This window comes from Homo sapiens, chromosome 3, assembly GCF_000001405.40.
Source record: "Homo sapiens chromosome 3, GRCh38.p14 Primary Assembly".
In the NCBI taxonomy this organism is placed as follows: Eukaryota; Metazoa; Chordata; class Mammalia; order Primates; family Hominidae; genus Homo; species Homo sapiens.
In genome coordinates, this window is record NC_000003.12 from 108,567,799 (window position 1) to 108,583,874 (window position 16,076).

Genomic DNA, 16,076 nt, shown 5'->3' on the forward strand with positions numbered 1-16,076 from the left:
GGGGAAATAATTAGCATCAAGCAGAAAACAGTAACATGGAGTAACAGAATAGTCATTTTAGAATTTACCACCAAATGTCAAATTGTGATACAAGTGTCAAAATCAAGCTTAAACAGCATTTTAAAAAATGTACTTTAACTTAAAAGTTTCACACAGAAAAATAAGGAAAAAAAATCATGGATCTTTTTCACTCATTGAGAATTTTTTCTACAGTTCAAATTTTAGTTCAGTAATTCTAGATAAATATGAGCATAAAGTGACAAATTACAAATAAAGACAAAATGCAGTGAATGCAATACTAGAAAAAAAAGAATGGTTAGTTATACAGTTTTCACGTTAATGACAGTAAAGGATATTTAACAAAACTTCAATGGCCTTGGCAATCCTTTCACATTTTTTTCTTGTTAAAGCCTCATCTAGATTTTGTTCTGTGAACTGAAGTTGATCAAGGATTGTAGGCAGCAGAAGGGTCACAAAACGATCAGCCGAGGAACAGTTAGCAGCATCTATGACATCCTGGAGAATTATCCATCACAAATGATTAAAAGCAAAGATGGAATATACAATACAGAAAAAGTCATCACTGAATTGTAACACTCTCTTTAAATTTTTTATATTTCCTTCAATATGCCATTGACCTAAGTCTCCTGTGAATATTTAAATTTTTATTTAAAATTTATACTTCTAACCAGTTTTGAGGGCTATGGCTTTTTTCTCAAATTAGACAGTAAGGTTTTACAAATAAGACTTTTTTAAACAGACTTTGTGATTTAAAAATTATTCTAAACTAAAAGTATCTACTGAAAACAAATATCCTGAATCTGCTAAAAGTAATAACAATAATTAAATAATAGACATTGGTCTTAATAGTTTATGACCACAAATAATTTCCCTCAAGACCCTCAAAGGGCTTTTTAAATGTTAAAACTGATTGTTAAATAATCAAGACCAAGATAAAATAGAAAATTTTGTGAATAATTCTTAATGAACATATTTAATCACTTCATACACATATTTGTTTGTGTGTAAGACCCAGTTATGTGAAGGGAAATACTTTCAGGAGATATTGGGTTAGACAGAATGGATTTATAAACAGGGAGAATAGTAGAGAATATTAAATTGCCCAGATAGTAAGATCTACCAGAATGTGGAGTTTTGTCTGTATCTTAAGTGCCTAGCACATTATCTGGCATGCTCTACTCCATTTCACTGACTGAATCCAATATGCCTCTATTGTCCATTCAATGGCCTACTAAACTTGGTAGATGGCATCTATTGCAATGGAGAGACAATGTAACTATCCCCAGTAGTCAGGCAACAAATTATATAAATCTTTTTAATATCTTTACTTATTACACTGAAATGAGCACTATATATATATATACATACACACTACTCAGTGAAAAAAAAGGAAAACACTAATATATATGACTGGCAGAAAAAAACCTAGCGAGTCTAGTATGACTGTTAGTAATTGAGATGTTTTCCTCAAGTGTATGAACTGTAAGTTTACAAAGAATGTTTTTGAAGACAAATTGTTAACTGAGAGTCACAAAAGTAGAAAAGTCAATCTGTCAGTCATCCTATTACCTCAAATATTTCCTTGAACAACTCCAATGCTAAAACAGAACAGTTTTCTGATCCGTCCAAAGGTTGGCTTAACCAGCGCAGTAGAGCCACAGTAGGTTCTAAACATTTAGTATGGCTTCCCAGAGTGGCGCTGCCAGGTGGAGACTGTTCAAACATCATCTGAGTGAGCATATGGCGCAGCTGAGTCACTGAACAGAAGGCAAGAAGTAATTCTAAAACCTGTGCAATATAAAGTGTTCATTAAACATCAATTTCACAGAACTTTAATATACAAAGCAAGTGTATGATGAAGCTGAAAATGCTACATATTTTAAAGAAAATATTCTAAAACAAAACTTAAGTTTTTTCTTTCAATATTATTTTTCAAATGTGTGAATAGGTTCTAGAAGATTATAAAATAAACTTATTAATGGTGGTTACTCCTGATAAGCAGGACTGTGAGAACCTCAGAGGGAAGGTCAACTTCAGCCAACGTTAAACTCCTCCCACTCCTTCCATAGTACTTAAATTATTTTTAAACAGAAACCTGTTTTGTTTATAAATGACCAAAAAAACCCTAAAAAATAAAATTAGAATTAGTAATACTTGTTATAATCCTAAAATTCAATAACCGCTATAAAGGATACTGTAGCATAGAATATAAAACCTTCAGGATGGTTATTTCCACACTGTTTGCATACGGTTGGCATTATGACCCTTAGCTCTCCTACTGTACCCCATTTTTCCTCTACTTTATAAACTGGGCCTTATACCATAACATCCCCCATCAACCAGTTTATTAGATGTTAAGATAAATTCCACCTCATTTCACATACTACCAACTTATCACTAAAAAAAAAAAAATTTCTTAAGATCTCCTTGTCTCTCTATTTCCAACTTTTTAAAAGTCTGTTTCTTACAAATGATATATAATTGGGATTTGTGTTTTAATCAACTTGATAGTATCTGAATTTAAAAGAATCCAGTCCATTAGCATTTACTATAACAAATGATAATCTTTAATAAACTGTAGTACAGTCATGTGTCACTTAGTGATGCATATGTTGCTTAATGCATCATTAATTCCGTTGTGTGAACATCGTAAGAGTGTACTTACACAAACCTAGATGGTAGAGCCTACTACGTCCCTTTATTGCCCGTGGGCTACAAAACTGTACAGAATATTACTGTACTAAATACTGTAGGCAACTATAACACAATTGTAAGTACTTGTGTATCTAAACATAGAAAAATACAGTATAAAAGATCAAAAACGGTACACCTGTATAGGACACTTACCATAAACAAAACATGCAGGACTGGAAGTTGCTCTGGGTGAGTTAATGACTGAGTAGTGAGTGAATGTAAAGGCCTAGGACATTACTGTATATTGCTGTATATTTCATAAAGACTGTATGCTTAAGCTACACTATTTTTTAAAATTTCTCTAATAAATTAACCTTAGCTTAGCAGAACTTTTTAACTTTATAAACCTATCCATTTTTAAAGTTTTTGACTCTTTTGTAGTAAGAGAAACACACTGTACAGCTATACAAAAATACTTTATTTACATCTGTAGTCTATCAGTTTTTTCTATTTTTAAAATGTAGGCTTTTTCTTTTTAAACTTTTTTTGTTAAAAACAAAGACACAAACACAGACATTAGCCCAGGTCTACACAGGGCCAGGGTAATCAACACCACTTCCACCTCCACATGTTGTCCCACTGGAAGGTCTTCAGGGGCAGTAACACACAGGGAGCTGTCATCTCTAATAACAACAATACCTTCTTCTGGAATACCTCCTGAAAGACCTGCCTGGCTGTTTTACAGTTAACTTTTTTATAAGTAGAAGTACACTCTAAAATAACAAAGAATAAGTGGTAACACGTTTATCAAAATACTATGTACTGTATACAATCTTAATATGTGTTATAGTTTTATACAGCTGGCAGCTCAGTAGGTTTGTTTACACCAGCATCACCACAAACACATGTGATGCATTGCACCACCATGTTAGAATGGCCATAATGTCATAGGCAATAAGAAGTCTGTGTCTGTCATTGACTAAAATGTCATTATGTAATGCATGACTATATTTATTTTTGAATAGGTAATACATTCACATGGTTCAAAAGACAAACCCTGTAGGCAAGCAATGTTACCAATTGTTTGTGTATCTTACCATATGTCCGTTATAAACATAGAAGCAGATAGCTTTCCATGTACATTAGTTTTCTTTTAATGTACACATATAAAAGTAAAAAAACTAATTACTAGTGCAGAGCTAGATGACTTTCCCAAAATGAACATATTCCACTGTTAATGGCATTTGGGTTATCATTGTTAGCTATTAGGAGCAGTACTACATTTTGTACACATGTAAACAATTCTTTGGGATAAATACCTATAAGTGAGATTTCTGGGTCGTAGTTTATACATATGCCCAGTATTAATAGATACCAGTTTTCATAATTGGTTGTTCTGTAAGTACTAAATGAGAGTTAAAGTATGTTTGCTATTTTCCTTATTTTTCATTTTAATCAACTGGTGGGTGTCAGATGGTATGATACTACCATTTAAATCTGCATTTCCCTTAAGATTGATAAAGTGGTAAATCACTTCATGTTTATTGACCAATTCAACTTTTTTGCTCAAGTATCTGTTCGGCTCTGTGTTTTTTCGGATATATACATACAATGTAGAAAAATAATATATTTTGGATAAGAGTCCTTTGTTAGATATATGCATTGTAAATATCTATTCCCATTCTTTGACTTTTCATTCTTTTATTAGTGGTCTTTTCATAAATAGAAACTTAATTTTAATGTAGCCCAACTTATCGACTTTCTTACTGTATAGTTAGTGCTTTTGTTTCCTGTTTAAGAAAATCATTGTCTACCCCAAGGCCATGAAGATACTCTTTAGGTGTTTTTTCTAAAACGTTCCTTATTTTTACTCTTCACATTTAAATCTACAACCTGTCTTATACTGATTTTTGCATTTGGTATGAGGAAGGGGGTCAAATTTCAGTTTTTCCCCATATGTATATTCAATTGACCCAGCGTCATTTATTGAAATGACCATACTTTTAAGACTCTACTGTTGTCAATCTGAAGACCATATGCTGTGGGTTTGTTTCTGCTCCATTATGTTCCACTGGGCTGTCTATCATTATGACAAAATACTGCACTGTCTTTAGACTAATCCCCTAAGCACCTGACATTTAAAAAAATCAGTTAATAGCATCATTTAAAAACTTCATGTTCTATTTGTCACGAGAATATAAATAAAATATATATTTACTGATCTTGTATCCAGCCAACTTGTTAAATAGATTCACTTAATTTTAATAATAGATTTTAGATTTTCTATACTCTCACGTCATCTGAATAGTGAGTTTTATTTCTTCCTTTCCAATCTCTATATCTTTTTAATTTATCTTGCCTTATTAGGTTGGTTGGGACCACCAATACTAAGCTGAACATCACTGGTGATAATGAACATTCTTTTCTTATTCCTAATCTTGAGGAAAGCTTTCAATAATTTGCCATTTAAAAAGATAATGCAGTAGATTTTTGGTAATTACTCTATCAGGGAAAGGAAGTTACTGTTTATTCCTAGTGTGCTAATCTTTATCTTGAATAGGTATTAAATTTTATCAAATGCTATTCCACCTTTAATGAGATAATGTAATTTTTCTGCTTTTTTGTTAATGTGGGAAATTATATTAATTTCTAAATGTTAAACCATCTTTGCATTCCTGGAATAAACCTCATTTGGTAATAAGACATGATCCTTTTTATGTGTCACTGATTTTGATTTGCTACTGTTTTTAGAATTTTTGCAGTATGTTCATGAAAGATATTGAGCTATAATTTTCATTTGTTGTAGTATCCTTGTCAGGTTTTGCTATCAAGGTTATACTGGCCTTATAATCAAAGACACTATACGCTATTACATATTTAAAAAAAGACACTCAACTATATCTTCCCCACCAAGATGTATTTTGCTTTCACTTCTCCCCACTTCTATCATAACGCGAATTATTTTTTACTTTAAAAAATTAAGTTTTAAATTTTTATTTATTTTTATTTTTTTACTTTTCCATTCTCTTTCAGGTTTTGATACCCATAGAATGCTTCTACTCCCCTGTGCTACCTGACCTCCTAAATTCCCTGAGACAGTTTAATACCTTTAGATTCGAATACTAGATTTTTCCCTTGCTGTGTGTTTCTATTCCAAGAATCCTTATTTAGCACTTATATTACAGATTCCTAGTCACTTTCTTAAGATCCATTTAGATACTAATTAGAAATAGTTCTCATATTGCACATGAGAAAGGAATTTAGAAATTCTAGGGTTCGAAATAAAAAAGAAAATATTGTTAAGTAACAAACTTTGTACTGTTTCAACCTTTCTACCATCTTTTAGATCATTGTTGCAAATGATTAGTTCAAAGTCATTCTAATTTTTTTCTTCTGTAAAAACTTGTAAGGTAAAGGCTGACCTGGAAAAGTCGTACTTCACAACAGACACAAAAGTCACTTGTAGGAAGATTACAGATCTATATGTGAAAGTTAAAAAAAACTAGGAAGCTTTTAGAAAAAAACAATGGAGTCCATCTTTGTGACTTTGTAATAGGCCAAGAGTTCCCAAATGGAACACAATAAACACTAAATTGATCTATGTTAAAATCAAGGCACCATTAGGTGAGTAAAAAGGCAACTCACAGAATGGAAGAAAATATTTGCATGTTATATACCCATCAAAAGACTCCAGAATAACTCCTCCTACTTATAAGAGAAAGACAACGCATTAAACAAATGAGCAAGAGACATAAACAGACACGTCAAAGAACATACAAATGGCCAATGAATATGTAAAATGATATTTTTATTAATTAATAAAATATTAATTTAAATTATAATGCAATACTACTGTATAGACATTAGAATTGCTAAAATGAAAAAGTGAAAAATATCAACTGCTGGCAAGAATGCAGACTGACCAAATATTCATAAACTGGTCCAACTGACTTTTTTTGAAAACTGTTTCATAGTGACTACTGAACTTACGTATATCCTATGACACAGTGATTCCACTCCTAGATATAAAGCTAAAACAAGCTGTCCATAAGCTCACCAAAAGACATGCAGAAAATGGTAAATGCAGGTTTCTTTATAATAGCTGATGTTCATAAACAAAAGAACACCAATTGTGCTCCTTTCCTCCTGGGGCCCAGTGTGCAATGGCTGCAAACAGCTGCCTCCTTGGTAGTATACATGGCCTGTTGCTTGTATGGGTTGGCCTAAGAAACCTGAGAGACAGCCCTTTCCAATGTACATTCATGTCTCTGACCTCCTGCTGTCCCCCATCTAGGCTTCTGAGAGCTATTATGCAAGGTGTCTTTGGAAAGCCCCCAGGGCACCGTGACCAGGGTTCACAGTGGCCAAGTCATCATGTCCATCCACACAAATCTGCAAAATAAGGAGCATGCAACTAAGGCCCCATGCAGCGCCAAGTTCAAGGTCCCTGGCTGCCCAAAGACCCACATCTCAAAGTGGGGCTTTACCAAATTTAATGTGGATAAATGTGAAGACATGGCGGCTGAGAAGTGGCTCATCCCAGATGGTTGTGAGGTCAAAAACATCCACAAATGTGGCCCCCGGACAAGTGGTGAGCACTACATTCGTGAGGGTGTTCACTGTAATGTCCCCTTATTCATGCTCACCAATAAATCATACTCCCTTGTCCAAAAAAAGAATCAATCTAACAATCTACAACTATATGAAATATGAGTGAATCTCATCACATTATGTTGAACCAAAGAAAGTCTAGATAGAAAACGTATTATATGCTTTTATTTATACAAAGTTCCAAAATATATATGTACATGTGTATATACACACACACGTGTACGTACACACACGTGTACGTACACACACGTGCATGTACACACACGTGTATATATACATATACACACATGTGTATATATACATACACATATACATGTATGCGTGTATATATGTTCACATGTGTATGTATACATATACATGTATACATACACATACATATATACATATACATGTATACATGTGAGTATATATACACATATATGCACACATATGTATATATGTATATATACACATACATATATACACGTATATATACTCATATACATGTGTATATATACGTGTATATATACTCATATACATGTGTATATATACGTGTATATATACTCATATACATGTGTATATATACGTGTATATATACTCATATACATGTGTATATATACGTGTATATATACTCATATACATGAGTATATATACGTGTATATATACTCATATACATGTGTATATATACGTGTATATATACTCATATACATGTGTATATATACGTGTATATATACTCATATACATGTGTATATATACGTGTATATATACTCATATACATGTGTATATACGTGTATATATACTCATATACATGTGTATATACACGTATATATACTCATATACATGTGTATGAGTATATATACATATATACATATACGTATATATACATACATATACGTATATATACATATATGTGTATATATATGTGTACATATATATGTATGCTGTTAGAAGTCAGTATAGTGGTTATAGCAGTTTACCAAGCAGTCATCCTTGGTAAAGGTAAGGAATAGGAAGGGGTAGGTACTGACTAAAAGGGAGCACAAGAAGAGTTCTAGAATACTGGTAACATTCTACATCCTGATCTAGACACTGGCTACATAATTGTGTCCCTATTATAAAAATACAGAAATCTGTGCATTTGGATTTTTCTGTATTTTGCAGTTTTTTAAAAGTTTCGGCATTTTGCAGTTTTTAAAAGTTTAAATGAAAAGTCATGTTTTTACATACCTTTGAAGAGGAATCAGGATCCTTTCCATTAAGAAGACCTAATACTTGGTGAAGACATGAAGAAAAGTGCTCATATCTAGGTTTAGAATAAAAATATACATCAAATGATAAATATAAAATTGATACATCAAAAGGGATTTATCTACAAGATAAATATAAAATTTATGTGTATTTTCTTTCATCTATTTATTTGGGCTTCTAATATAGAACACACTCCTGTAAAGTTTATACTTAAAACATATGTCTTACAATTATGATATACATAAATTGGCTGTGTCATTTATTAAAACATAGTGATTCATGTGGCAATAAATAAATCATTAAATTTCTTTATCCACGAATACACATCACTATTAAAATTTTCAGTGTCTCAATTGCTCTATTTTTTTAAGATTGTGTTCACTTTGTAAAAATTCAAAGGACAGAAGAATATCCTAATACATTATACAGCTGCTTACTTATAAAGCACCTAAAATTACCAGGCATTAAATTTGTCTCTGCAAATAAAGAAGTAAGGGGCAGCAACCCGCGTTACACAACTCCAAGAGGTACTGTGGGACCCCTAGCATTATATTCTATGTGACTGATGTATCCTAGATTTGGGAGATGGTGCCCTGACAGGGAGTTCACAGTCTGAAGATGACAGAAAGAGATAATACAAGGTAATATAAAATACAATGCTATAATGGAGGAATGTAGGAGACACTATGGAACAAAGAATATTGTCTCAGTATTAAACCCAGACTCGAGTCTTAAAAACAAAAATAGAAGTTAGGCATATAAGAGAGAAAGTATTCTAGTCTTCCAGAGGGAACACTCTAGAGGAAATAGCACATGGATACATAAAAGGGCATTTCTAGTGAGCTGGAAGTTCTATTTATTGTCTGATATTAGACAAAAAAACAAAATGTGTGAAGAAATAAGGTTGAGAGGTTGTTAGGGATCAGATTTTGAAGGGCTATACTGAGAATCTGGATATTCACCTTGAATGCAATGGTAGGTCAAAGATTTTAAAAGGGATATCTGGTTGAAGAAAAAGTTTTGAGCATATTTGTAAGTTAAAGGGGAAGGGTCAACTGAATAGGAGGCCCCGAAGAGAGAGGAGCAACTGCTTCAGAAAAGACAAAATGAGGCAATACATAGAGTAATGGTACATATTTATGAGTGAAACTGGATGAAACTAAGTAAGAATTTGGTATAAACATAGGTACGTTTGTCCAGGGGCAAGGATTTCAGGGAGCTCCAATCAAATGGGGCTCCATTTAGATATTTATTTTCTGTGAAACAAAGATAAGGTCATCTTCTGCATAAAAGGTAGCAAGAGAAAAACAAAAAATTTCAAAGACCGGCCAGGCCAGCAGCTCATGCCTGTAATCCCAGCACTTTGGGAGGCTGAAGCGGGTGGATCGCTTGAGGTCAGGAGTTCAAGACCAGCCTGGCCAACACGGTGAAACCCGTTTTCTACTAAAAATACAAAAATTAGCTGGGCGTGGTGACGTGTGCCTGTAATCCCAGCTACTTGGGAGGCTGAGGCATGAGAATCACTTGAACCCAGGAGGCGGAGGTTGCAGTGAGCCAGGATCACACCACTGCACTCCAGCCTGGGCAATAGAGCGAGACTCTGTCTCTAAATAAATAAATAAATAAATATGAAAGATCCACTGTAGGAAATGAGAAAGCTGACAAGTAAATATAAGAGGTCTGGCCCAGGTAAAGTTGTGTGATTTTCTAAAGCTGTAATTAGTAACCATGCAGTTAAGTTAGACTTTGGAAGAGATTCAGGATTGGGTTATTGTTCAATGGCATACCAGAAAAACAAGAGGAATTGCCAGAGGTGATTCTGGGATTCTACGATAGAGTATAAAATAGATAATAGAACTGAGAGATTTACAGAATAAATGATTAAGCTACCTCTTATTAATGCTAAACTGGATTATCTTTTAGTCTTCCAGACGAGGTTTATTCAAAGGAATTTTTCTGTTTACTATGAAGATGCTGAATAAGCACTATCTGGTGGGTAGAATAGATATACATGGATATTGGGAGAATCTCACAACAGATGAAGAGAAGGCAGGTCATGGGAAGGCACTCTGGAAGAAAAAGCTCACCTATCTAGAGATTCTTAAGAGAAGAAAAAGTGAAATGCTAAAGTGAATACTTCTTGGTTTTGCAAAGTATCAGCTGAGCCATATGAACAATGGTCAAGTTTGCCCTAGTGCTTAGCTTTCATTAAAATAAAACTTATAGATTCTATGTTTCTTAAACATCAGGGACTGTGTCTTCAAATCCTATTGCTGCTAAGTGCCTGATCATAGGTGGGGTTCAGTAAATGTTTTCTTGTGTGTGAAACTCTTTGAAACAATTTCAATTATTTCCTAATTTAGGATGACAAAGCAGCATAGGCCCCAGCAAAATTTAAGTTAGAATGCACAAAGGCCACAAGCTTGTTGGAAAACAATTACTACCTGATCTCAAAACATAAATGATCATATGAAATACACTGAGATAGAAAGGACATATGTTCCTATTTTACCTATGAAAAGAGGCACACACCAAAGGAAACATTATCCATTTTTATACAAAAAATAAAGACACAAACATAATGACATCAATGTTTCAACACTGTTTCATTTATTTATAATTTATGTAGAAATATTTATTTTTATTGTTCCTATAATAAAAATACTCTTTCAAATAATCGTAATGCTACTTACGTTTTAAAACTGGTTTTAAAATAAATTAGCCAAGATGTCTATATTTTGGAGAATGGCACAACCCTATTGATCTAAAGCAAAGACTGAAATACACACATAGACAATGACCTGTTATACTTTCCATTTCAGTTCAGGAAAGAAAAAAGAGTGTGAGTAAAGCACATCAAAACATTTTAGTCTACTGTGAATCAGTAGAATCCAAGTTTATTATATTTTAAGAAGACAATTCTGTTTATAACCAACACATCTTGGTTTAAAAATAAAAAAGTTCTAAAATTGACTGAAGTGAGTCATACCTGGTGAGATAATCAGCAATTTTAGGATTCTTAAGGAGATCCATCAGTAGGTCAACTGAATACTTTCTAGTTAGAGTGCCATCACCGTTTATGAGAATATTAAATATTAGTTGAAAAGTCTGATGAATGTTTCGAGCATGGAATAGCTTAAGGACAAATTAGAAAAAGCATATTAGACAAAAAATTAAGTTGACACCATCCTAAAAGGTAAAAATAAAAAAGTCTCAATGACTTTTAAAATATCAGACTATAAACTTCAGAATAAATTTGAAAAATTGTATTTACCTTTTCCCCCACCTCTTCATTTAATGTCAAACTGGATAATATTGAAAGTGCAAACACAACCACAGTTAAACTACTATGGGCCAACAAGGTGATAAGAGTTCGATAAAAAGATTTCACATTACTCTGAGGAAAAAAAAGTTAAAAAATAAATTAGAATTATAAATTTTATGTTTTGGTTTAAAAAGTATATCTTGCACAGAGTGGGCAAACTTTTATTAAACATCATTATCAACTCTATTAAATGATTGTTGCATTTAAAAGATAAATGTTCTACAGGAGAAATTTAGATCAGAGATAAATTTAAATTCAAAAATTGTTATAAAGAGAGTACCTACAGAAAAAAATAATTTGGTAAATGCGTGCAAACGAGTTGGAGATAAATATTTCCAAAGTTTTGTCACCTTAGAATAAATAATTCAATGATGGTAAATCAGGGTGTCAATTCTAATAAAGGGACACATGCAGAGTGGAAACAAAAGAGCTACCTTAAATACTGCAGGATTTGTGTTAACAAAAGAACTGTAGCATTTGTTAGCATTTGTGTTAACAAAAGAACTGTAATGAGGAACTCTCATAATTGTGGTGGAAGCAAAAAAAATTCAGCAAATTTAAGAATTTGTTTTACGTTACACACCGTGGAGCAGCAATTAACTTTGCCATATTTGCTGATTAGCATTTAGATTTAAGAGATCACTGCATGTGTGAGCAAGATGGGTAGTTTCGTATATTGCTGACAGTCATATAGATAGCCACAATCTTGGTGAAGAGCAGTTTCTACACATGAAACTATGAGCAAATGTTTATTCTTCCTTATATTTAAGTGTTTCCTAAATATGAACATATGAACTTTTTTTTCAATTCAGAAATTGAAACACACACACACACACACACACACACACACACACACAGTTACTCCACCTCCAAAGTAAGACCAGGGCAGAAAAATGTAGCACTTGAACAAGTGAGATATTAAATTTAAAATCGAACGGGTAATGCTGAATAGCACAGCAGGGAAATTGTTCACCAAGCACCTTAAAGAATCAGTGACTTGCTTGATTTAATATACTTTGTTTTTTTTTTTAAGGATGGAGTCTTACTCTGTTGCCAGGCTGGAGGGCAGTGGCGCGATCTCAGCTCACTCCAACCTCCACCTCCCGGGTTCAAGCAATTCCCCTGCCTCAGCTTCCCAAGTAGCTGGGACTACAGGCGTGTGCCACCACGCCTGGCTAATTTTTTGTATTTTGGTAGAGACAGGGTTCACCATGTTGGCCGAGATGGTCTCCATCTCCTGACCTTGTGATCTGCCTGCCTTGGCCTCCAAAGTGCTGGGATTACAGGTGTGAGCCACCATGCCCAGCTGATTTAATATACTTCTAAAAGTGATTCAGTTAAATTCATTTGTGTGTCTTCATTTATCACAAGTACTGTTGGTTCATACTGAGCACTTAACTCATGAATCTTTCTGGTGGGGTTGCCATTGATTTTGTGGAAACACAAGACTGAGATAAATGGGACTGCCAGTGATGTGCCTCCCTTCTAAGAGCACAAAATAATTTAGTAATTCTTGTACTACTCAATGTAATAAATAATGGGATGCCATGCTGAGGAAAACTTTTAGAAATAAGTGTTTGCATTAACCCTTAACACACAGTCTTCAATACAACATACACGAAGGCTGAAGTGCTTCAAGTTATTTGTATGTCAATCTGACTCTTAATTTTGATGGGTCATCCGATAAGACACAGAATCCTTGTTCAAATTTGTTTTAAAGAAAAAGATAAATACAATTTTCTTTAAGCAGAGAATCTACCATAAAACAAGAAACATTAAAAAGAAATAAACTTCTTACCAATGTCTTTATGTGCGTTTGAACAGAAAGATTGTGCCGACAAAGATTTGCCAATAATCCTAGACAAGGCATTTTTAACTCATCTTCAGAAGATTGACTGTTGTTTTACATTGGTGTTTTGTTTAAAGAAAAAATAGTAAAAGAAAAAAAGCATTAACATTATTCTAAGTCAAAATGATATAGTTAAGTTTATACATTTCAATTCCCTTTTACACGCAAAAAAAAAAACTAATTAACATAAGAAGCCAGGGAAGCTTTGAATAGTATTGATCATTTATCTCATTTTAAAACCAAATTACCCTATTCAATTCCATCATGAAAACATGGAAGTAACTGTCAGCGTGGACCATGTGCTGTTTCATCAGTATATTTTCCTACAAGAATAACTACACAATTTTCAATTTCAGTAATTTTTTTCTGGCCAAATCAATTCAGTCCATAAATTTTTCTTATGAAAATTAAAGTTGCTTTACAATTTTTTTTTCCTTTTTACATTTTTTCACCAATGAATGAGGTCACATACTTTTACAACTTTTGATCCTTAAAATCATCTGGGCAGAACAAATAAGAATCGGAGTCTCACTCAGTTTATATGTTAGAAAATGTTATCTAAGAAAAATTAATCTACCACATGGTTGTAATTTAAAAATAAACAAATAAACTATTTGGTTTTATGTTTGATTGCATACTCACATGTGATCTATCAGGAACGTAATTAATTCATCTATATTGGCACCAGAATAGAAAATTTTGACATTATATGTTAACTTCTGTAGAAGTTGAATGCACTGAGAATAAGAAAATAGTTATAAATATAAAGATATAAAAACATTGCCTGCTTAAAATAATGGACTCTCAGGCACATTCTGAGCATGTCCTTTTCCATTTCCTAAAACAATTTTTTTAAAAAACACATGTAAAGTAATGTAAGAACCTTAGGGCTCTTCTCTCAATTCACACATTTCTACGTATTCTGTCTCAGAGCATGGTTATCAACCTTGTTCACTTAGTCATCTTAAACTTGAATGCAGTTTGAAACACACATGTAGTCCATCAATTAGAAGATACCCTTCTTCACATTTTATCACCTCTAAAACTGCATGTCAATTTAATTTGTGATGTTTTTCTTTCTTACAATTGATGACATTTTAGAGTCAATGAAATATGAAGAGCTTTGAATCTATATTAAATAGACTCTATCTACAGCTTTAATTTTTGTAGAACGTTTCCTCCACAGATTGAGACTAGATGCCAACTCACGTTACAATTTTAATATAAATAGCTTATGTCTCAAAACACAGACATCTGTGTTTATAAGTCAAAGCAGTTATAATGTAGATTTGTTTTTCTTCAATAGTGGTGATAGAAATGGATAAGCTTCTCTTCTCTAGAAACATTTAAATTGTATGTGTGCAACCAGCTTTTAATGAGATGAACTGTGCCTAATCATGTAGTATTTATTATATAGCATATATACACTGTAAGTCAGCAGTTTATGACAGAAACTATCAATTTTGATCTGACAGTAAGGAAAGGGGAATACACTGTGTGGGTCTGTATACCTGCAAAAACACCGAATCAGTGTGGCTGCTCCGACAAACCACTCCCGCCAGCACACTATTCAGATTATATGTATTCTGAAGACAATCTCTGGTTTCAATGTCTACTGCTATAAGTTAAAATAAAAGCACAAAATATATCATTTTCTTACAAGGTTTTGCAGATAATTCATACAGAATTTATTTCATATGAATTTATTATTAAAAAAGGTATGATATGGCTATTTTCTTATTTTCTTTATGATAACCCTCCAATTCAGAAATTCAAATGATTTCTCTATGTAAAATAAACTAGTATCAAAGAAAAAACTTGTTTACACATTTGTAGCAAGCTTTTTCTTTGATACTAATTATTTTAGTATCAAATTAAAATCATTTACTTTGAATATTAAAAGATTATCACTTTATGGTATATTTACACAATGGAATACTATTTGGCCATATAAAAGAATGCATGCCATTTGCAGCAACACGGATGGAACTGAAGGCCATTAGGTTAAGTGAAATAAGCCAGACACAGAAAGAAAAATATTGCATGTATTCATTCATGTGTAGGAGCTAAAAAAGTTGATCTCATGGAAGTGGAGAATGACAGTTACCAGAGGCTGGGAAGAATATGGGTGAGTGTGTGGTGATGGGAGGTGTGAGGGGGAGCCGTTAGTGGGGGAGATGAAGACAGATTGATTAATGGATATAAACACACAATCAGATGGAATAAGTTCTAATGTTTGATAGTAGAGTAAGGTGACTATAGTTAACAATGTATTGTATATTTCAAAATATGACTTGAAATGTTCTAAATACATAGAAATGATAAATCCTCATTTGTGATGGATATCCTAAATACCCTCAATTGATCATCACATACTTTATGCAGGTAACAAAATATCATATGTACCCC

General features: G+C 33.0%; 1 protein-coding gene and 1 non-coding gene across 4 annotated transcripts in view; one reads left to right on the forward strand and one right to left on the reverse strand.

The window, feature by feature from the left end:
• Positions 1 to 16,076, reverse strand: part of CIP2A (cellular inhibitor of PP2A) — a 39,575-nt gene that overhangs the window by 17,935 nt on the left and 5,564 nt on the right. The window contains exons 3-10 of one of the 3 annotated variants that reach the window (XM_006713716.4): positions 15,179 to 15,282; positions 14,310 to 14,404; positions 13,617 to 13,713; positions 11,768 to 11,890; positions 11,483 to 11,628; positions 8,473 to 8,548; positions 1,591 to 1,809; positions 357 to 516 (exon numbers count right to left, since the gene is read on the reverse strand). In XM_006713716.4, coding sequence (XP_006713779.1) covers positions 357 to 516; positions 1,591 to 1,809; positions 8,473 to 8,548; positions 11,483 to 11,628; positions 11,768 to 11,890; positions 13,617 to 13,713; positions 14,310 to 14,404; positions 15,179 to 15,282 — 1,020 coding nt within the window. Of the gene's footprint in view, positions 1 to 356; positions 517 to 1,590; positions 1,810 to 8,472; positions 8,549 to 11,482; positions 11,629 to 11,767; positions 11,891 to 13,616; positions 13,714 to 14,309; positions 14,405 to 15,178; positions 15,286 to 16,076 lie in introns of those variants that run through there. The other 2 variants (NM_020890.3, XM_011513057.3) reach the window with 2 other exon arrangements.
• On the forward strand, positions 6,767 to 6,900 carry LOC124900556 (small nucleolar RNA SNORA70). Its single transcript, XR_007096303.1, has one exon. It is a non-coding gene; the product is annotated as a small nucleolar RNA SNORA70 (small nucleolar RNA).